Here is a 21712-nt window from a genome sequence, read left to right on the forward strand (position 1 = left end):
GCCGAGATCGTGCCACTGCACTCTAGCCCGGGTGACAGTGTGAGACTCTGTCTCCAAAAAAAAAAAAAAAAATGGGGAGTATGGGAGCCAGTGCACCACAGGCCAACTTAATATTATGATGATTCCTCCTCGTAGGGAGAAGACCTGGGCAGGATGCAGGTAGGGTGACTGGTTGTCTGGGTTTGCCTGTGACTAAGGGGGTTTCTAGGAACTTGGGCCTTGCAAACTAGAATGAATTGGTCACCTTCAAGCGGAGTCTGGAGAAGTCAAGACACTTGGCCTGACACTCTAAAAGGGTCAGCATCTTCCTTGACCACCTCCAAGGAGATTTAAATACTCCTTCCTGCGTGCTCCAGAACACTAACTTCATACCTGTTTACATTCTGCCTTCTTCATTTAATCCAGCTGCTGGGTAAACAGCCAGCATGGGGCCTTGCGTGAGCACAGGCCGGCAAGTGTTAGATGAGCAAGTGGCTGCTGAAGGCAGGTCAGACAGACCCACAGTCTGTCTGTCTGTGCACCCCTCTGGGCTTCTATTTGGCGATTATTTCTGTGTCTCTTGAAAAAAAAAATTCTGCCCCAATGTAGCGAAAAGTGAGCTTCTTGTAGTTAAAGAGCAAAATAAGGATTTAATTAAATTAAAAAAAAAAGAAAAGAAAACCCAGCAGAGTGGTTTGTTTACAGGAAGTCGTTTTTAGGTGGTCTGTTATAGAAGATGTAATTTGTGAAAGTAGATTAGTTGTAAATTAGAGATTTTGGGTTGTCGAGGTCGCTAACCATCTTTTATAATTGGCGGCAGAGGTAAATATTTTCAGATTTGCTTATAGAGTGTTAGTATTGACAAAACAATTTAAGGTGTTTTTCACTTAAGGAAAAATAAGTGAGAGTATGGAATGATCAGAGACGGGCTTCCTGATCTTATTCCCAGCTTTCTTATGGAATGACAAGGGTATGGAAAGCAACAGGGAGATGAAATGCTGGAGTAGTTTGCAAGGGAGCTTGCAGATTCTCTGATAGGGAAACAGTTTTATTTATTTGTTTATTTATTTTATTTTACTTATTTATTTAGAGACAGGGTCTCACTATGGTTTCCCAGGCTGGAGTGCAGCAGCACGATTTCAGCTCACTGCAGCCTCAGTCTCTGGGGCTCAGGTGATTCCCCAACCTCAGCCTCCCAAGTAGCTAGGACTACAGGCATGCACCACCATGCCTGGCTAATTTTTTTGTATTTTTAGTAGAGACAGGGTTTCACCGTGTTGCCGAGGCTGGTCTCAAACTCCTGGACTCAAGTGATCTGCCTGCCTCAGCCTCCCAAAGTGTTGGGATTACAGGCGTGAGCCACCACACTCAGCCGATTTTTATTCTTTAATAAGAGCAACCCATTTCTTTTATCAACAGACTTGTTTTCTTAGCAAAAAGGGAGGACGTATTGATGTCACTGCTTTCCATTCAACTAAGTTGGTATTTGTGTTCAGATTTAGGGATTCCTGTTTGCCCGAACCGTTCATGTATCTTTTACCTTGTAATTGTCCCAACAGCCCTGTGAGGTAGGATAATTATCCCTATTTTAAAATTAGGTAAGGAAGACTAGGAGAGCATAAATGACTATGTAAGACCCCTTAGCCCAACAGCAGTGGGGCCCAAGGTTCAAATCTAGACTTCCTGGGTGAGGACTCTGGGTTTGTTGTTAAACTTAAGCTGTTTATCCTGAGGTGATCTTCTTTGGGGTGGCCCTGACCAGTTGTTTGTAGTGCCATAGAGTTACTATGGTATGGCCAGGCGCAGTGGTTCACACCTGTAATCCCAGCACTTTGGGAGGCTGAGGCGGGTGGATCATGAGGTTAGGAGTTTGAGACCAGCCTGGCCAACATGGTGAAACCCTGTCTCTACTAAAAATACAAAAATTAGCAGGGTGTGGTGGCGGGCGCTTGTAATCCCAGCTACTCAGAAGGCTGAGGCAGGAGAATTGCTTGAACCTGGGAGGCAGAGGTTGCAGTGAGCCAAGATCACACCATTGCACTCCAGCCTGGGCGACAAACCAAGACTCCGTCTGGGGGCGGGGCCGGGGGAAGAATTACTATGGTACCTCTTTGAGGAAAGTCACTCTGACCTTCCTCTCTGTCACCCAGGCTAGAGTATAGTGGCGCGACCTCAGCTCACTGCAACCTCTGCCTCCCAAGTTCAAGCAATTCTCCTGCCTCAGCTTCCTAAGTAGCTGGGTTTACAGGCGTGTGCCACCACGCCTGAATAATTTTTGTATTTTTAGTAGAGACAGGGTTTCGCCATGTTAGCCAGGCTGGTCTCGGACTCCAGACCTCAAGTGATCTGCCTACCTCAGCCTCCCAAAGTGCTGGGATTACAGGTGTGAGCTACCGCACCTGGCCAGTTTGTCTAAAATATTTTATATTAGAACAAATATTATGGCACAGAATGCAATATTTGCATAATTCTTTTTTGAAACACTGTGATACTTGCAGACACTTCAGGATCGCTTCTGGCTGCATCAGTTCCTGGTCATTCTGGGCTGTCCCTTAACGTACTTTGCCTTTAGGAGGAGTACATAGGTAGAAAAGTTGAGAATCTCTATTGTTTACTCCTTAGTATAGGGGCTGGCAAACTTTTTCTGCAAAAGGCCAGATAATAACTATTTTTAGTTTTGTGGCCCAGATGGTCTCCTAGAACCATTCAGTTCTGCCATGCTATCACGATGACAGCCAAAGACAATATGAAAATGAATGGTTGTGGCTATATTCCAATAAAACTTTATTTACAAAAGTCAGGAGGCTGCTGGTTTTGGCCCTCAGACTGTATAGTTTTCATACCCCCTTGGCTGAGCATATTGCCTGCTAATAAGAGCATAGGTTGTTTACACTCAGTCTGTCTGGTATTAGACCCAGCTCATCTGTTTACTAGCTTGGTAACCTTGGGCAGGTCATTTAACTTCTTCCCACCTCACTTTCTTTATCTGTAAAATGGGGATAATGATGGTCTTTAACCCATAGGGTTGTCATGAGGATTAAATGAGCTAATGCACACATAGTTGTTAGCATCCTGCTAAGAAACAGAGTGAGCACTTAACAAATGTTAGAAACATGAGCTGGTGGTGTTATTTTCAACGTTGGAGACTCAGGTCCTCTGAGACTCTGGAGTTTCCACTTTAGTCCTGTCTAGCAGTAGGCTTGCTAGTGCAACAGCCTTTATATACACACACACACACACTCTCTCTCTCTCTGTCTGTCTCGTTCTCTCATTCATCTTTTCCATCTATCCTGTGGGGGAGCTTACCACTCAATTCTTCTACCCACCCTGGCAATGATGCAAACTAAAAAGCCCTTCCTGCATCTTCTGAGCATAAAGACGACGATTCAGTTTTATGCAATTTTGGTGGGATGTACCTCGAGTTCCATCCGGCTACCCCGCTGCTTCCAGTTTGTGGAACTGACTTGCCGGTTGCCCTGGCTTTGATGAAAGAGTTGAACCGATGTAGGCCCAAAGAGAGTTCTTCTGGGTGGATCCTTCTGATGAACACTCTTTACATTTCTTTCTCGAATAATTAAACTTTTTTTGGTAACGGATACTGCCTGGAAATTGTCCCAGTATCATTTGGCTGATGTTTGTTAAAATATCTTTATATATATTGATCCACTAATCTGTTTATTGCATTTATTTTGCCTCCTGGGAGAGCTTTTCAGATCCTCATTTAAGTTTTTCTTTCCTTTTCCTTTACATATGATTCTAATAAGCTTGGTTTTCTGGCTTCTTTTAAATTTATAGCAAATATTAAGGGGTGGAAAGATGTTAATAAACTCAGTGTAAAGCGAGAGGGAGAAAACCTATAAAAACAAAGAGGCTTCGATCTTGAAAAGCTCCGCAATGTAGGACTGTTTAGTGCAGGGAAACAGTCATCCTTCCTCATTAGGCCCACAAGGCATTGCATCTACAGCCTCACGCATCATTCATTTGTTCATTGATTCATTCAGCAGACCTTGATTACCTTGAATGCCAGGTACCGAGCTAGGAGCCAGGAGCACCTTGGTGAGTGGAACAGACAAGATCCTTGCTTACTTGGAGCTTAACAAGCATGGGGTGTGGGTGGCGGAGGACCAGCCAAAAGCAAGCAAGGAAATAATAAAAATAATTACAGATTGTGTCATCAAGGAAAGAAACCAGGAGCTGAGAGAATCCATAATGGGAATACGGAAGAGGGAATCTTGGCTTATCAAGAAGTCAGATATGTGTAGTCTCTTTGCCTTGACCTGACTGTAAATTCCACCAAGTGGGGCTGGGTCTGTTTACTCACCCTGTAGCACCAGGACTGGCCTATGGCCTGGGCAGTAGTTGGTGCTCAGTAAACAGTGGTGGAATGAATGGATCCTCTGTATCGGAGGGCAGGGAAGTTCCAGTCATTGGAGAAGGAGTTTCAAAGGGTAAAATTAGGATTTTTTTTTTTTTTGAGACAGAGTTTCACTCTTGTTGCCCAAGCTGGAGTGCAGTGGTGCAATCTTGGCTCACTGCAGCCTCTGCCTCCTGGGTTCAAGCAACTCTCCTGCCTCAGCCTCCCAAGTAGCTGGGATTATAGGCGCCTGTCACCACGCTTGGCTAATTTTTTGTATTTTTTGTAGAGATGATGTTTCGCCATGTTGGCCAGGCTGGTCTCAAACTCCTGGCCTTAAAAGGAGGTGAGCATCTGCCCGTGTTGGCCTCCCAAAATGCTGGGATTACAGGCATGAGCCACCCTGCCCAGCCAGGATTTTTCTTTTTAAAATGGGGCATTAAGAGAGTATATTCCATTATCTGGAGCATTTCCTTATGTGAAACCCATTATTTCCCTGCATCCTAGGATCCCTTAGCTATTTCCAACCCGCAGCAAAAGCTTAATAGAACTAAGGGAATATCTGGGCAGGGTGAGCTGGTCAGTAATGCCCTTTTCAGAGTCGGTAGATTCTCAGGCAGGTTTCGGCATAGAGGGTAGACACAGAGAAGGGAAGGATGTCAGGAGGGTAAAAATTGGGATATGCAACTCTGTTTCATCTTCTCTCCTTCTCTTCTTTCTGTCTTTGGTCTAAGAAAAGCAGTAGACTTGCTGCTTGGGAGGTACCAGGGTAGGTCAGTGACTTTGAAAAGCTGGTGAGACGGTGAGAGCGTTGACTCATCTAGGCTCATAGATGTTATGGATCCTCTGGGCACCAGGGATGGGGGTACTTGGATGGGCATCGGGCAGTTTCTCTCCCAGACTTGCCGTCTTGTGATCAGCCAGGGTGGGGAATGAAAATGGGTCCAACAACATTAAGCCACAGCACAATCCTCCCTGATGTTGAGAAATCTGGCTGTGGACATGGAGAATGTGTTTGTGGGTACATTTTTGCCTCTCGAATGAACCGAATTTGCCATTGGCATTTACTGCCAGACTGTCGGGAATTATGTGGGGTTGTGGGGGGATTATGTGGGGTGAAGTTGAACAATTCTCAACTTTGGAATTGGGCAGACCTGAGTTTGAATCCAGATCATTTGCTGTTAGCATTGTGACCCTGGGCTATTGATTCAACTGTCTCCTGAGCCTGGTTTCTCATCCGTTAAGTGGGCATACAATTTCATTTACAATGGGGTTGTAAGAATGAAAAGATACACATTTGCCCAGGGTCTGGCACATGGGTATTTAATGATAGTCTCCCCTGCCTGCATTCCCTTTCTGCTCCCCATTCCCCCCAACATCCCGTGTTTCTGAACCCCCAAATTGCTGACTTTCACCAGGTTCACTCCCTCTGATAAACTCCCTCCCTTAATCTGCACAAAGCCCTCTCTGTGTGCCAAATGGACGGTTTTTGGACCAGTTTCTTAGTTGCTCCCAGCCTCTGCCCCCACCCCTCCACAGCTATCCCTCTGACAAATCCGGAACCATGGAAGTCCTCATTCTGAGATCCTCCTAGATTTAACCCAGCTGGAGTTAGTGTTGGGGGAGGCTAAGTGGAGGATTTGGCTTTTTTTCCTCTTATGCTAATGAAGTGAATATGGCAAGGAGTCACAATATTTTCTTTCCAGGCAAAGAAATGTTGTAGTAGGAGAAACAGCATGCAGGGGAAGCAAATGTGATCTCACTGGATTCTCTCAAGGGAGGAATAGGACAAATTGTCAGCTTCTGTTGAGAAGATAATACTCTCACTATGATAAATGCCAAGTTTCTATTGAAAACCACCATCTTAATGGTGGTGTCCCCAAGCACTCAGTGCTTGCCTGGCAGCCGAGACCAGAGGAGAAGCAGAGGAAAGCAGATATTTGTAGGGGGTTGTTTGTTTGCAATGAGAAATCAGTTCAAAGCAAAGGAGATGGTGCATTAAAAATGTTCTTTTAAGGCAGCTTTAAAAAGCTAACTGGAGTGCTCCAGTGTGGCCTGATCTTAAAACACACCTATGGGGAGACTTCCACCCTCAATAAATATTTCTTGCATATGACTTGAATTAAAGGAGGCACATGGGGCTGGAAGCCGCCCGAAATAATTTTCCCTCCCATAGGAAGCAGCCGCTGTAATTCACTTGCAAGTTATTTCAAAAGGCCTGTTCTGATAGAAATTGCTGCCTTCTCGTGGACTGGGATTTTTCTCGTACTGTCTGTGACATCCCTTCTTGACAAGGGTGTGTCCGCCCATATTTTACAATGCACCACTCCCTCAAAGAGCGTCTCAGTTTGTTGTTGCCCTTTTTGGGGGTGCTTATGCTGGTTTCTCTTAGACACCTGAGTGTGGCTGATCTGCCTCACAGCCTACACTCAGGGAGACCTTCAGGTTAGTTAAGGGAGTTCCTGGGGTTGGGGGGCTGGACGACAGTACATTCAGGAGCTCTAAGAATGCTGGTGATCATGGGAACAACTGGAGGGGGAGGAAGAAGGTCTCTTATCAGCTGCTGTTGAAAGGTCCTAAGGTGGTTGTGCTTGTCCAACCATCCTTGCATTCAGGAACCCAAGCTAGGTATTAAGCACCATGATGGGGCCACAGAGATGGGTGAGGTGGGGTGCCCACCCATGTGGGGCTTGTGGTCAAGGAGCAGAGATGGTGGTAAGCAGAATCGCAGTGTGGTATAGCAAATGGAGAGCCTGCCAGTGTCACTGCGAGGTGGGGACGGTGGTTGCTGCTGTGGAGCTCCTCTCCCAGGCCTCCCATCCTTTCCCTCAGCTGACTCGGCTGTTCCCTATGGTGGCCGCTGAAGGCAGATCATGTCTTCATGTGCCTCAATGCCAGCCTGAGCATTGACCTGGAAAAGGTGCTTGACAGACATTTATTCTGGGCTCCATAAAGGACCAGTGTTGCCATGGTAGGTGGAGGAGAGGAGGAAGCCCAGAGTGTGACTTGCCCCACACACCCCTGGATATCACAGTCCTGCCCCTGCCCATTTTGGAAAGAACCACATGGAGAGGGCTCACTTCCATGGACCTGAAATCGTGAGTTTGACTTTGTCATCAGCTGCAGAGCAAGGAGGGAGGCAGTTTACATCTGGATGCCTGCATTCACCTTGCCCAGAGATGCTGACTGCTGAGGATGCACCTCAGGGCTTTACAGATGCTCCCCTTCTTGCCATGTTCAGTCTCCTCCCTGAGATCTTACCCCTCAACCCCCAAGAAGCCACAAGGCAGGTCTGCTTGTTTGACCCATGAGTGGAACGGTAGATGTGATCTTTTCAATGTGAAAGAACCTCAGCGAACATTAGTCAGGGTGTCTCAGTTATAATTCAGTCTCATTATTGCCTCCCGGATGTGATTAACCTGGGATCTGCTCATGAAGGGATTTGGCCGCCCAAGGAAATGGACAAAGATGATGGATCAGGTGCACCTGGGACAGAATGACAGCTGAAGTCAGTGGTTTTCTGCTAAACCCATAACTTAACCACTGGTTGAAAGTCTGTATCAGGTGTCCCAAATCAAATGTATTGATTCTAGATGCCTTTTTGTAAAGAGGCAATAAAAAGAAATACCATTTATTTTCACAATTGTTCCTTCCTCCCTGTGTCTAGGAATTACAGAGTCATTGTTATTATTCCTCCTCTCATTCGTAGCTCCAAGTACATAGAGAGCAGGGCTTGACACACTTTGTCTGTAAAGGGTCAGATACCAAATATTTTAGACTCTGTGGGCCATACGGTCTCTGTCCCTGCTACTCGGTTCTGCTGTTGTAGCACAAAAGCAGCCATAGACAATATGTAAATGAATGAGTGTGGCTGTGTTCCAATTCCACTTTTATTTACAAAAACAGGCAGCAGGCCTGTGGGCCGTAAGTTGCTATCCCCTGTTATAGACAGTCCTAGTCGTCAACTTGACGTCTCAAAGAAAGCAGCGATTTCATAGAACTGAGGATATTTTCAGGATCAGTAATAAACTTTAGGGGCATGGCTATGCTCATTTGAAATAGTCATCCTTTTAATGTAGGCACATGTCAGAAAGGTACATTGTATTGTCTGATGCCATCCCTCCAAGATATTTGGAAAAATCTTTTGGAGTAAGTAGCTGCAAATAATAAGGACTAGGGAGAGTTAAGAGCAGGCATAAGCCCCTGTCAGTCACATAAGGTTTGTTATAGTGAATAGGCAAGGAATGATCATTTTGGGGTCTTGCTTTTTTCTTGGGCTGTGGGGTGCTCTTGCTCAAGGACAGGTGCTCTGTGTGGACGTGGTAGCCACAAGCTAGAGGATTGTACCCACAAACGTGTGCAAAGGCTTGCTCGTCATGCAACACTTATCTGGCCACATTCCTGAAAGTGGAAGGCCAAAGTGGGAACTTTTATGCAGCTTTATGCGACGGGTCCTTGACTCTGCTCACTCACATCTATAAGCTGAGAATTTGGTGGTAATCACTTTTCTAAAAGAGGAAAAAATGGATCCACATGGATTAATCTGCACTGTTTAGGTCTGTAAAAAACCAGTGACATTGACATGTCAATGAAAATGGTGGAAATTAACACTTGGAAATTTTTATATAAAACCTTTATTGAAAATTCAGTTAAACATTCACACACTAAAAAGAGCTCTATATTTATAACTGAAAAACTCAATTTGATGCAAGCTGCTTATTTCTCCATTGTGGTCACGTGGGCTGAGGTTCTTAGTATGAAATGTAATTTACACAAATTAGTCCAAGGCAGGTAGAGTGTGAAATTAAATTGATGCCTTGATTTCTGTATTCTCTAGTTAAGTGTTTCTCTGAAAATTCGTCATTTCTGTCCTAGGAACTTTAAAGTATGGAGGTTTTCTTTTTTTTTTTTTTTAAATAGAGCAAAGAAGTTCTTACTGGTTAAGGACATGAAACAACCTTAATTACAGGCTAAAAAGGCACGTTCCATTTTGTTTTGTGGCTAAATATTAGAGTGACCCCCAAATTGGGCTGCCAGTAGAGGTAGAAAACTTGGGCTTTAACGCAATTATTACATTTTTCTTTTTTTTTTTTTGAGATGGAGTCTCACTCTGTCACCCAGGCTGGAGTGCAGTGGCTCAGTCTCAGCTCACTGCAACCTCCGCCTCCCAGGTTCAAGCGATTCTCCTGCCTCAGCCTCCCGAGTAGCTGGGATTACAGGTGCTCATCAGCATGCCTGGCTAATTTTTTTTTTTTTTTTGTATTTTTAGTAGAGAAGGGATTTCACCATGTTGGCCAGGCTGGTCTCGAACTCCTGACCTCAGGTGATCCACCCACCTCAGCCTCCCAAAGTGCAGGGATTACAGGCATGAGCCACTGTGCCAGCCAGCTAGTACATTTCTCAACTAGCTGCACCAAGCCATCTAATTTCTTTGGTTGTGATGAGAACAGGTTAGGGCTGTTAGCTGTGTAGACCTAGAAGGGGCTTTGCAGACCCTTTTACAGATGAGAAAACTGAGGCTCATGAATAACATTCTGACCTTGGTCTCTTCGGTCAGGACGCCGTGGACCCTGGCTGGGCCTGCTTCTGCCCCTGAGTCCGCACTGCTGCCTCTCACTGAGGACAGTTGTCGGTGTTGGTGTCAGATTGTGTCAGTAATCGTAGTAAGAATGAATCAAGTATGGGGTATCCTGGTTCAAATTTGATAATCCAAGAGGAAGGAGAATCACTACTTGCCCAGAAATAATGGAAGGCCAAGATGATCTGACGACCTTGTAAGGAGATCACCAGTGCTCTGGGACTGAACCCATCTGCTGGGTCCTGGGGTAGCTCTGTTGACTGCCCTCTGCTGAAAAGGAGTCAGGTTGCACCTCTAGGGTCCAGGACGCAGGTGATTGCATTTTATCAGCATCTTTCTCACAGGCCACCCTCCAGCAAGGTAGACATGGGTCAGCCCTGCCAACTTTGGAATGAATCATTTCTTTCAAATAACTAGCGACTGACGTTCGGGGCAGTCTGAAAAATGAATTATGGGCTCTCACGATTTTTATTTGTCCATGGTGGCATAGGTGGTATTTATCTCTCTTGTCCTTGCTCTCCCCCACTTTTGGAGCCTTTGTCTCTGTCTGAGTCAGCATGACATGGTTTGAAAATTGCCTGTTTGGCTTTTAATGATGATTAATGTCCATAGCCATGTTTCAAATTTAGGATCTCTTGAAGAGTCTCCGAGACCGTTACCAAGAGCAACCTGCCGAGGGAGTCGGCGCAGAGCTCCGTACTTTCCCAGCCTGAATTAGATTCCTCCCAAACTTCTCCATCTTTCCACCAGCACCCCGTGGGCCCTTCTTGGGTCTTTGACACCAGGAGCTGAGCTGGCCTGCCCATCTGGCAAGCTCCAACCACCCTCTTGGGTTAGTGCCTGTCCCATGGGCTATCTGGAAGGGTCACTTTTTCTTGCTTCTTCCTCCCCACCCCCAAATCAGAGAGGCCAATGAGGAGCTTAATTTCCTCAACAGCAGGTGTCTGTCATCTATCTGAAGATAGTTGCCAACATCTGGTACAATTGCCTCCGCAAACGCAGTAACAAGGCGGCCTGCAGTTCAGGCGCAGAGCGAGCATCGCCGCTTTAATGATAACAAGCTGTTGGCCTCCCCTCTGAGATGAATCCATCTCACAGATGTTTGTCTAGTTTTGGCAATCGTATTGCACTATAGCTTTGGTGATTATGCTCGACTGGAGACTATTACAATAAAAGAAGTTTGAACTTGTTCCATTTTTATACCCCACCCCCTTCTCCCCTGTTCTGAGGTATAATTTATATCAATGGCTGTAATATTGGTTCCCTTACTGAGGCCTCTTTACTTTTTATGATGTCGGTGGAGCTGCAGCTGATAGCCTGGCTTCCTCCACAGGTTAATGTGTTTTGGCTCCATCAGCGCTTTTAATGTCCACGCTTAATGGCCCCGTGGCAGTCCCCTCACCCTCTGTCAAAGCGCATGTTGACACTGAGAGGTCATGTGATTACTTTGACGGAGTATCTCCAGCTGTAGATAGTTACAGCTTGTGTGTGTATGTAGGGCGTGAACATGGGGCGTGTGGAAGGCCTGATGCTTGCACAGGACGGAGTAGATCAGAAGGAGAGGTTTTTCCTGAAGGTGGCAACAGTAAGAGACAAGGCCTGGGAATGTAGAACCTTCTAGACTACTGGTGGACTTCCTCTCTGCCTCTCTCCCTCTGTCCCTCCTCCCCATTCATTCTCCTCCTCCTCCTCCTTCTCCTCAGGCACAGTATACTTTTACTGAGACAAAATAAATAGTCCTGGTGCAGTGGCTCAAGCCTATAATCCCAAGACTTTGGAAGGCCGAGGTGGGGAGGATCGCTTGAGGCCAGAAGTTTGAGACCAGTGTGGGTCACATAGTGAGACCCTATCTGTACAAAAAATGTGCCTGTACTCCTAGCTACATGGGAGGCTAAAGCAGGAGGGTCGCTTGAGCCCAGGAGTTCGAGGCTGCAGTGAGCTATGATTGTACCACTGCACTCCAGCCTGGGCAACAGAGTGAGGCTTCATCTCAAAACCACAAAAATAACAACAAAGCAAAATAAATAGAAATCACACCTTGGTGAAAGGGCATTTGGAGGCCTGTCAGGTAGTTTATGCTGCAGTGTTTGACATTTTGGGCTTTAATTACACAGTGGTTTAATATTTAATACTATCAAATGTTACACAGCTTTACAATTATAGTTCTACATATGAAAATTGAAAGGAACTATCAATCCACTCAAATCGTATTTAGTGATAGTAAATACCAGGTATTTTAAATAATAACTCTCATTAATTGCATCTCCACTGTGTACTAGGTACTACACGAACTGCTTTTATTAGTAGATAAATGGGGCCAGGTGCGGTGGCTCACGCCTGTAATCCTAGCACTTTGGGAGGCTGAGGAGGGCGGATCATGAGATCACGAATTCGAGACCAGCCTGGCCAATATGGTGAAACCCCATCTCTACTAAAAATACAAAAATTATCCGAGCATGATGGCAGGTGCCCGTAGTCTCAGCTACTCAGGAGGCTGAGGCAGAAGAATCACTTGAACCCAGGAGACGGAGGTTGCAGTGAGCTGAGATCGCACCACTGCACTCCAGCCTGGGTGACAGAGTGAGACTCAGCCTCAAAAAAAAAGATAAATGGGTAATTCTTACAGTCTCCCTGTGAGGTAGGTATTCTTTTGTCTTGTCACAGGTGAGGAAAATGAGGGTCCGGGACAGGAAAGTACATGCCCAATGGCACAAAGCTGCCAAGGGACAGAGAGAGCGCTCAGTCCAGGGCTAGCAAACTCCAGACCCATGCTCATTCTCCAGCCATCATTGTCACCGCTAACCCTGCTCGTGGTCTGCTTTGATGTCATGGAAAAATTGGCCCATCTGAGATGTGGCGCATTATATAAATCAGTACAGCGTAAATCACCATCATCACTTGACATTTAAGCCTTTTTTTCATTTTAATTTGGATATTACTTTGTCAAAGATTAGGCAACGTAATTTTGGCAAGGTGTTATTTTTGGCAGTGCACTTACGAATGGGTGAGTCAGCCTGGCTGTGGATGCATCATTGGTGGCAGGGCACCATGGGTTTCTTTCTTTGTCCAGAAATAGACACTGGTCTCTGGACTGGTGACACTTCAGGAGGCTCCAGATGACTGTACTGGGTGCGTGTATAGCAGCCTTCTATGAGGAACTAAAGGGGCCACCTCATCTTGGCCTCTAGATAGGACTCTATTCTTTAATGAGTCCTTCAGATATGTGGGTTCGAGTCCCATAGGGAGAGAAAAAACTTTTCCCAAAAAGTTAAAATAGAGTGATCTTTTGTGATGCATATCAAAATAAAAACCATGGGATGGCTTATGAAAATTAATGGAATTAAATTTCCCAGAAATGGCTAAAAATGTGCAGCTTGCAACCCAGCAGTTTATTAAAGACTTGAGAACATTATCTTCGCCATTCGAGTTAGATTTAAGTATATGCTTTTAACCTGGGCCACACACAGTAATAGAAGAAGCCCGACAGAAATGTAAAGACCTGCTAATTTCCTTTGTGATCTTGGGCCTCGTCTTACTTCTCTGGGCCTTGGCTATCTTTTCTACAAATTTCGGCTTTGTAGACATTGGATGAGATTTCAGATCTCTTCCAGCCCTGTAGCTGCATTCTATTCTGTTGGCCAGCGCCTGCTCATGCCTTTCCACAATTGAAGTGTCTGTTGCGTGGATCACCATCACCATCCTCCTTCTGTTCTGAGCTACATCCCAAGTTGCCCAAAGTCAGGTTAAGTCCAGCATAATTTGCCATTTGTTAAAGTATGCCTGTTGATTTGTCATCTTTCCTTCTTGACTTCCCTCCCTCAGCACAGATCTCTCATGCCAGTAGTCAAATATAAAATTTTTCATACCCACCCAGCGTTTTGCATGGGTTCTTCACTCTCTCCTGCCCGCCCCTCCTCACCAAATGAGTTCTTTCTTTGCGAAGCTGGAGCCAAACCACCAAAATGCCACAAAGACATGTGGCGCAGCTTTTTCCAGTTTTTCTCTTGCGGTAGTTACAATATTATTAAAAATCCATTAAATTTTAATGTACCCTATAAAATATGTGCTCTTGTGAAAGCAAGCACAGATAATTATTTCTGATGAATAAACCAAGAGGACAAGTATGTATGAAGTTCATGCTGCAGCATTCAATTTTTATTATATACATCTCCTGCAGGGGCAATCACTGTGATGTTCCAGCTGGTTGTGTGGAGGGCTGGTTCTTCTCAGAGATCCTTTGGGGCAGCATGAACCCTGAACTCTCCGAATGTTCTCAGAGCTTGTTATTACCTGGAAAGAGAGAGCCCTGTGTAGGAGCTGTCTTCTGTTAAGCTCTTCAAACAAAAGAATGAAGGACTAAATGAATCAGGATGAGAAAAATGCAGTCTCTCTAATACTCCAAGGTATCCTTCTGGGATGAGGAGGGAAAAATCAGACATACATTTGAAGATCTTCTACCTAGTAGCTCTGTTCCCTTGAGCCAGTCTCTTAGCTTCTCTGAGTATTTGTTTCCTAAATGGGAGATGAGCGTTCTCTCTGCCTTGGGGCTTAACAGAGGCACAGAAGAGCCTGTGTCTGGCTCAGAGTGGGAATTCTGACTTGCGGTTTCCCTCTTTCAGTCTTTTTCTTCTTCTTCTGGAGATCCTTTGAAAGTTTTCTCATAGCTCCAGAAGTTGGAAAACAGAGCTGCTGCCTGGCCTCCTGGAGTCTGTGTGGTGTGAGGCTTGGGAGCCATTAACACATGACTATCTAGTGTCACAGCTGCTGGCTCTGGACATCTCCTGATGCTTCAGGGGTGGCTTCCATATTGGTTTCCAGAGGCTGCATGCACCTGCCAGGTGGATGGAAGTGTTTCCCATGGGAGTTGCTGGGCCCCTGTCTGCCTTCTCGGGGTGCCTGTGGCCTCTGTGCCTGATGACTCTAGGGCAGGGGTCTGATGACTCCAGGACAGCCAGTGTCATCCCTTTGCTTGCAGATGAGGTGGCTTAGAACCAAGAGGGAGGAGCTTAGCCCAGCAGACCCTCCTGGGATTTGTTGGAGGCTGTGCTTGGGAGTCGGACACCTGATCTGCTTTGCAATTTTATGAGGTCCAACTTCTGATCCTCAGCGAGGCCCCATTTCCTTCCTGGGGCAGGGTTAGTCATCCGGCCCTGCAGGAGGTGGGGCAGGACTCAGGAAGCACTTGGAATGGCCTGGAAATCATGGGCTATAAAAGCCTTTCTTCCCAGGGTGGCGGAGTGCACTACTCTCACATTTAATCCTGCCCGGTATCCTGAAGAGGGGAGGGCCAGGGTTGTAGGTGAGTTGCATGGAGTTATTCTGGAATATTCCACAACTACAGTTGGGACTCAGCTGCTGGGATCAGTGGTGAAGAAAGTCCCACATTTTGCACAGAATTGGGTGATCTGTAAATGAAGGAAGTTTATTTTTAACAGCATTATGATTTTGTTTAAAAACGAAAAGACATACTAGAAAAAATTAAATACATAAGTAAACAGAGAACTAACAAATCCTCTCATCTCATCACCATGAGATAACCCACAGTAACATTTTGGTGTAGGCTTCCAGAGGTCTGTCTGCACATATATAAACTACGGTTGTGTACACTTTTATATAAATGAGATCATATGTGGTGTTTGCCAGATGGCCTTTTCTGGTCAGTAGTATGTCAGAGGCATTTTTCCATGTGATTGTACCCTACATGGTCATATTTGTTGCCTTCATTGTTTCTGTGATATCGATGCACTATGATTGACTTACGCAAACCCTTAGTTAGGATCATTTAGGTTGTTTGCAGTATCATTATGATCATTGTTTGGTATTATAGCCAGTTCTGGCAGGACCGCCCTTGTGCATGCATTTCTCTCCTGCTCCTGCAATACTTTTGACCTAGCAATTCCACTTCTAGGAATTTACAATAAGGAGATAATAATACGTTTTACAATTTGCTATTTATTGCCAAACTGCCCCACAGGGAGGTTGTACTAATTTACATTTCTACCAGTTAAGGCAGCATAAGAGTGAGCTTGAGCTTTTGGTCTTAGGATTTTTGTGCCCAAGTCTTTCTAAAATTTACATTCCTCTGAAATTTGTCATATGGAACATTTTTTTTTAATATTGAAGAGTGAGGAATCTGTTATACCTTGACTTTTAAATACTTGTTACATTGCCTCTCTGTTCTCTGATAATCCATGAAGTTGTAAATGGTTTTGACTGAGTGAGATACATGCAGGAGAGTTTCAGGATAGACCGGGGGTTGTGTTTCTGTTTCAGATTGTCATCTTGAAACAAAAATGGTGGCAAATAAAATGTTTTCAAGTGGATGTGTTTAGTCGTGATTTTTAATGGGTTTTTGATCATTGTTCCTAGCTGCATACCGGTTTTGTCCTAGACAGGATATAGCTGAAGACAAATACTGACTTTTTCCTTCATCTAATACATTTGGCAATTACGTCTTGCCTTGTGAAAGCATTACCATTGTTATTTAAATTTTGCATTGCTCTTTTAAGATAACGTTCAGCTTGTTGCCTGTTTATCTCTTCCCTCCTGCTGCTCTTGTGTGCGTCCTCACGGCACATGGGGCAGTGCCCTACACTCAGTAGTCACCCAGTACCCATTTTGGGATTTTTCTCCAATTATAAAGTTTTAGCATTAGGAGGTCTCTGAGAGTCAACTTTTCCCCAATTGTAGACATGTTTTTGATCTTACATACATTTTAATTTATTTTTTTCATTCAGTAGTAAATGGTTGTTGAGTGCTTTTGATGTACCAGGTGCTGAGGTGACTGTGCCGTGACAGTGTCCCCATCCTCGTGCAGGTGATGAATGGGTGTCCATACAGCCTTGGAAATGCACAGGCCTGGGGCACAGGCCTTTTTCCTCTCCTGTTGTTACCTTTTACATCTGCATTTGATAAAAACCTTCTCCAGAGAAAGGCTTAGAGTTCACAGAACCTTTATTTCAATGGAGGTCTGCAGTGTTCAGCGTTAGAGTGAAGATTTTCATGAAGCATGGCCTGACAGAGAAGTGTTTGAGGAAGAGATTAAATGGAAGCAAACTCTTTCCATCTCTTGGGGAAATGGGAGATGCGGGTGTCCACTGGAGCCAGGGCTTCTAAATTTTAAAATCACTTCTTCACCAGGCTGAAGCCGGGGTGCCCCCACGGAAGGTACTGTTGAATTGCTTCGAAGGTTTCTCATTGAGAGAAGCTCTCTGTTTCTCCTAGTTGGGACTGGCATGAATAAAAGCAGAGGCCAGGCGTGGTGGCTCACATCTGTAATCCCAGCACTTTGGGAGGCAGAGGTGGGTGGGTCAGCTGAGGTCTGGTGTTCAAGACCAGCCTGGCCAACATGGTGAAACCCTGTCTCTAATAAAAATACAAAAATTAGCTGAGTTGTGGTGATGCATGCCTGTAATCCCAGCTACTTGGGAGGCTGAGGCAGGAGAATTGCTTGAACCTAGGAGGTGGAGGTTGCAGTGAGCGGAGATCGCACCACTGCACTCCAGCCTGGGTGACAGAGTAAGACTCTGTCTCCAAAAAAAAAAAATAAATAAAAGAAAATAAAAGAAAAAATGTAAAGGCAGGAATGTGTACAGGACCTCACGGGATGTGGGGAAACCAGCCTGGTTGCAGTTGAGGGTATGAGTGGGACCCTACTTCTCTCCCGCTGATGAATGAAATGTATAAAACCACCTTCCTCATTATGTGGTCCTAAGGCTGAAATGAGGCCACGTACGTAAAGTGTCAGACACACTTTACATATGGGGGTTAGTAAATGTTGCCATGTCATTAATTATTAATACATTGAATTACAAAGTTATTTAATCCAGCCTCTCCATCCAATCCATATGGGAATCTCATCCGCAGTATTCCTGACAAATTTGATTTGTTAGGAATCTCTTTTAATCTTTCATATTTGATCGGCTTTTAATGGTTTAAGGAAGAACATTTCAGGAGTAAAAATCTGCTTCCCTGCTTAAAGAGCACATAGTTCCTTATTTTGGCTTTGTGAGCTCTGCAGTGGGACAACTCTTTCCCTTTCCCACATATTTTGAATAATTCTTTAATATATATTGACATAGATATTACTATATATTATATAGATTAGCTATATAGACATATAAAAGATATTTTCACTGTCTCAGCAAGGGGAATGCAGCAGGAAAACAGGGTGATAGTGGGGAGAAAGTCAGCAAGAAAACGTGAGCAAAGGAATGTTTGTATATCAGTGCTTTGATATACATGTTAGTGGTTCTCAAATTTGGCTATATATTATAATGATCTAAAGAGCTTTTCAAAAATACAAATTCATGGACCCATCTTTGGAGATTAGATGGTAGGACTGTGGTAAAATCTGAACATCTTTGTTTGTTTTTATGAGACAAGGTCTTACTCTGTCACCCAGGCTGGTGTGCAGTGGCATGATCGTGGCTCACTGAAGCCTCCATCTCTGGGCTCAAGCAATCCTCCCACCTCAGCCTCCCTAAGTGTTGGGATTACAGGCATGAGCCACCCCACCTGGCCTTTATTTTATTTTATTTTTTAAAAGAGATGTGGCCTTGCCCTGTCACCCAGGCTGGACCCATGCTGGAGTGTAGTGGCCTGATCATGGTTCACTGCAGCCTCAAACTCCTGGGCACAAGTGATGCCCCCACCTCAGCCTCCTAAGAACCCAGGATTATAGGTGTGTGCCACTGCTTCTGGCTGGGCATCTTTTTTTAAAAGTCCTAATGTACAGCTGCAATTGTGAAACATTCATTACCTGTTTTCATATTTAGAATGAGGGTAATCCTTCTAGAGGCACACAAAGTTAGCTGAGTAGCAAAAAGCTGGGTCTCAAACCAAGGTCTTCTAATTTCAAATATCATGTTTTATCTACTTTACCATGAAGCTGAATTGTGTGAGCACAATTATGAGGTCTCCTTTGCCTCCCACCCTCGCTGTATTGTCCATTTTCCAAGGTAAACACACCCAGTTCTTTCAGTTCTTTTTACTCTGTGATTTCAGTGCCTTCTGCTCTCCTAGTAATAATATATTTACCAGCCAGCATATATTTATGATCAGTATACATTTGTGATGCATTCTATGGGCCAGGTACAGGGCTAGGCATTGGGACTCCAGAGTGCCTGGAGGAGAAGATCCCCCACGCTTAAATATAGTACATTTGACATAGTCCTTATCCTTAGTGCCCTCAAGACCTTTCCCAGCATATCTGGCTCTTCATAACATGGAGAGCTAGTGGTCCTTCCTGGATCTGCGTGTCCTCAGTCTAACCCCTGCAGATCTCCCTTCATGTGGGGAGGGCCTTCTAGATGGCACCTGGGCTATGCCGACTTAACCCTGCATTTCAGGCTGATCCCACACAGCCTCCAAATAGGCACTATTGCTCTAAGGTGTCTGGGAGAGAAAAGGTTGGCCCCGGTTTTGGAAACTTTGGGGTTTTGCGTGTGTCTAAAAAGATTATCTTCAGTAGTTTTGCTCTCCCAGTGAGAAAAGGAGAGGCTGATCATGTGCTGCCAGACACTGGGCAAAGGGTGATGTTTGTAATGACCATCCAGTGACTCCTGCTGCCGCTGTCCTTCCTGCCTGGATGTTTTTGGAGCTTCCGTCTACTCATTCAGCATCCAGGGAGGCTGTGATGAAGTAAGGACCATCTGTTAGGGACCAGATAGCAAGGACATTTGCAGCGCATTGAAGGTTGGCCTGGATGACCAGCAAGGGTTTTTCCTGCCCTGCATGCCTGGACTCCCACCTCCCCACCCCTGGTTAGGCTTCCTGGTTGTGGGGAGTCATAGCCAGTGGAGCTCTAGTCTGTAACAAACACACCATCGGAACAACAAACCCTCAGGTCTTTCACATTGATTAGATAATTAAAAAAAAAAAAAAACAATTAAAATAGCTAAGCAAAAGGGAGAATTTCCGGTCTCATCCTGGAGAACCAGCATTCTGGTGTGTGTCCTTCCACACTTTGAGCGCATTCACTCTGCAGTTGTCACACTGGTGATGAACGTGGACACTGGGAGCAGGCAGGCCTGGCTGCCATTCTTGCCCCCATCACTTCCCAAGTGTGTGACCTTGGGCAAATTCATCTGTAAAATGGTGATTCAGTAGAAAGTATTTGATAGGATTGGGAGTCTTAAGGGAAACAGATGCATGGAAGTCCTCAGCAGAGGACCTCACACACAGTGAATTCTCAATCCGATGTTTATTTAAATCATATGTGCCTTGTTATTTGTAAGGATGGAACTCCCTGCAATGTCTTGAGGTTGTTAGCGTGTGACCATGAGTACTAGTACACAGTGCCCATTCATTGGAAATTCTGTAGCCACCGAAGAAAACTCACCTCAAAGTGAAGTGATGCTCTTTTGATGGTAAACACCATTGTTTTGCTGCACAGTAATTAGGCATGAATGGCAAACAGTTCACATCAGTGATTGTAATTAATTAGTATAAACATTTTTTTTTTCCAGCCAAATCTCAGTCCGCCTTCTTTCTCTTATCATGTGGTTGTCTGGTGTTGGTAATCAGTGTCCACACTGCCCCTGGGGCAAGTTCCTTGAAGGCAGGAATGGCAGTTTCTTCTTTGTACCCCCTGCCCCACTCCTGGTCTGGCAAATGGGGGCTCAGGAAGTGCTGGTGCTGCAGGACAGCTGTTCCTTCATTCACTCAAAAGTTCTCGTTAATATGCATGCCTCTAAAGCAATGGCCTTATTTTCATTGGATTTATTTTTCTTGTTCTTGCTCTTCACCTCTCATTTTCCCATATGAGAGACTCCGGGGCTGCACTCAACAGATTCTGTCTGTCTGTCTTCTTCTCAAGGCTGGAGATCTCTAAGCACCCACTTTTCCCTGGCCCATGTGCTGGTGGCCCTGAGTTTCTAGACTTAGCTTGCCCTCTGACCCAAGGATGGTGGCCCAAGTTGGCAGAGGTGGTGGGAGGAAGCAAGGCTGTGGTGGTGGTTGGGTGGAGGAATCAGAGCATAGGGGGTCCTCTGACCATGAAGATGAAGGAGTTTTCACTGTTTATAGAATCTGCATTGGCTGTCCTGCCCGCCTCTTCTTCCTGAATTTGGCACTGGTTATGATTTTAGGAGCACGGAGAAGACTCCTCCAAGAATTAGAAACAAACAAATTCCATTTCCTCTCTCTTTGGCTGTAAAGCCTTTAACTGAGGACCACGTGTTTTATTCCACAATTGGGTGAAATGCCCTCAGTTGCTGAAACCCATTCCATGTCAGATGGTATCTCCTGCCCATTCATTGTGACCCTCCCGTTTTGAAGAATTTATCCCTCCAGGCCCAGTTTTTCTGTAACTGGCACAGATTCACAGGTGGGAGCCCAGGCAGGCTGCACTCTAGGCATCGGCCCTCTCTCCTCCCCTGATGCTCAGAGCCAGGCTCCTCCTGAGCACAAAAATCAGAGCCCTGTGGTTCAGAACGGCCACCATGTAGGATGTGGGTGGCACCAGCTCCTTGGGCCCGAACTGGCAGCACAGCCAGGGAATGTCCTTAGATGTTAAATGGGTCGCAGGTGAAATGAGCTGTTTGTGTCCTTGCATTGTGAGTGTCCATGCTTTCCTTTGAATTTACAGGGAGAGGCAGGTGGTAGGTTTGGGGGTCCCAAGGCCAGCTGTGTTGTAGCATGGTCGGTGCGGCATGTCTTTTATATAACCTGCATGTGGGTTACTGGAGGCCAGAGGCACCTGTGGTCTTGGAATGAGGATCTCTTTGACGTGAGAAGACAGATGTCAAAACAACTTCCTGCCACCCCTGGAGCTGTTTGTCCAAGATCAGCCATTGCAT

General features: G+C 45.3%; 1 protein-coding gene across 10 annotated transcripts in view, besides 5 other annotated features; it reads left to right on the forward strand.

Annotated features, from left to right (window-relative positions):
- Nucleotides 1-21712, forward strand: part of MSI2 (musashi RNA binding protein 2) — a 445731-nt gene that overhangs the window by 154103 nt on the left and 269916 nt on the right. The window lies entirely within an intron of this gene.
- Nucleotides 759-1260: an enhancer, noted in NCBI's record as "H3K27ac hESC enhancer chr17:55488073-55488574 (GRCh37/hg19 assembly coordinates)". NCBI's record gives its function as "activates a minimal SCP1, AML or CMV promoter by ChIP-STARR-seq in naive H9 embryonic stem cells {active_cell/tissue: H9 hESC(naive)}" and the evidence as "EXISTENCE:reporter gene assay evidence [ECO:0000049][PMID:30033119]".
- Nucleotides 12812-12991: an enhancer, noted in NCBI's record as "active region_12431". NCBI's record gives its function as "activates an Ori minimal core promoter by ATAC-STARR-seq in GM12878 lymphoblastoid cells {active_cell/tissue: GM12878}" and the evidence as "EXISTENCE:reporter gene assay evidence [ECO:0000049][PMID:35858748]".
- Nucleotides 12812-13041: a biological region, named in NCBI's record as "MPRA-validated peak2912 silencer".
- Nucleotides 12841-13041: a silencer, noted in NCBI's record as "peak2912 fragment used in MPRA reporter construct". NCBI's record gives its function as "represses an SCP1 promoter by STARR-seq MPRAs in K562 erythroleukemia cells {active_cell/tissue: K562}" and the evidence as "EXISTENCE:reporter gene assay evidence [ECO:0000049][PMID:32103011]".
- Nucleotides 14875-15169: an enhancer, noted in NCBI's record as "tiled region #14735; HepG2 Activating DNase unmatched - State 14:Gen5', and K562 Activating non-DNase unmatched - State 23:Low". NCBI's record gives its function as "activates a minimal TATA promoter and a strong SV40 promoter by Sharpr-MPRA in HepG2 and K562 cells {active_cell/tissue: HepG2 | K562}" and the evidence as "EXISTENCE:reporter gene assay evidence [ECO:0000049][PMID:27701403]".

This window comes from Homo sapiens, chromosome 17 (assembly GCF_000001405.40).
Source record: "Homo sapiens chromosome 17, GRCh38.p14 Primary Assembly".
NCBI classification, from domain to species: domain Eukaryota; kingdom Metazoa; phylum Chordata; class Mammalia; order Primates; family Hominidae; genus Homo; species Homo sapiens.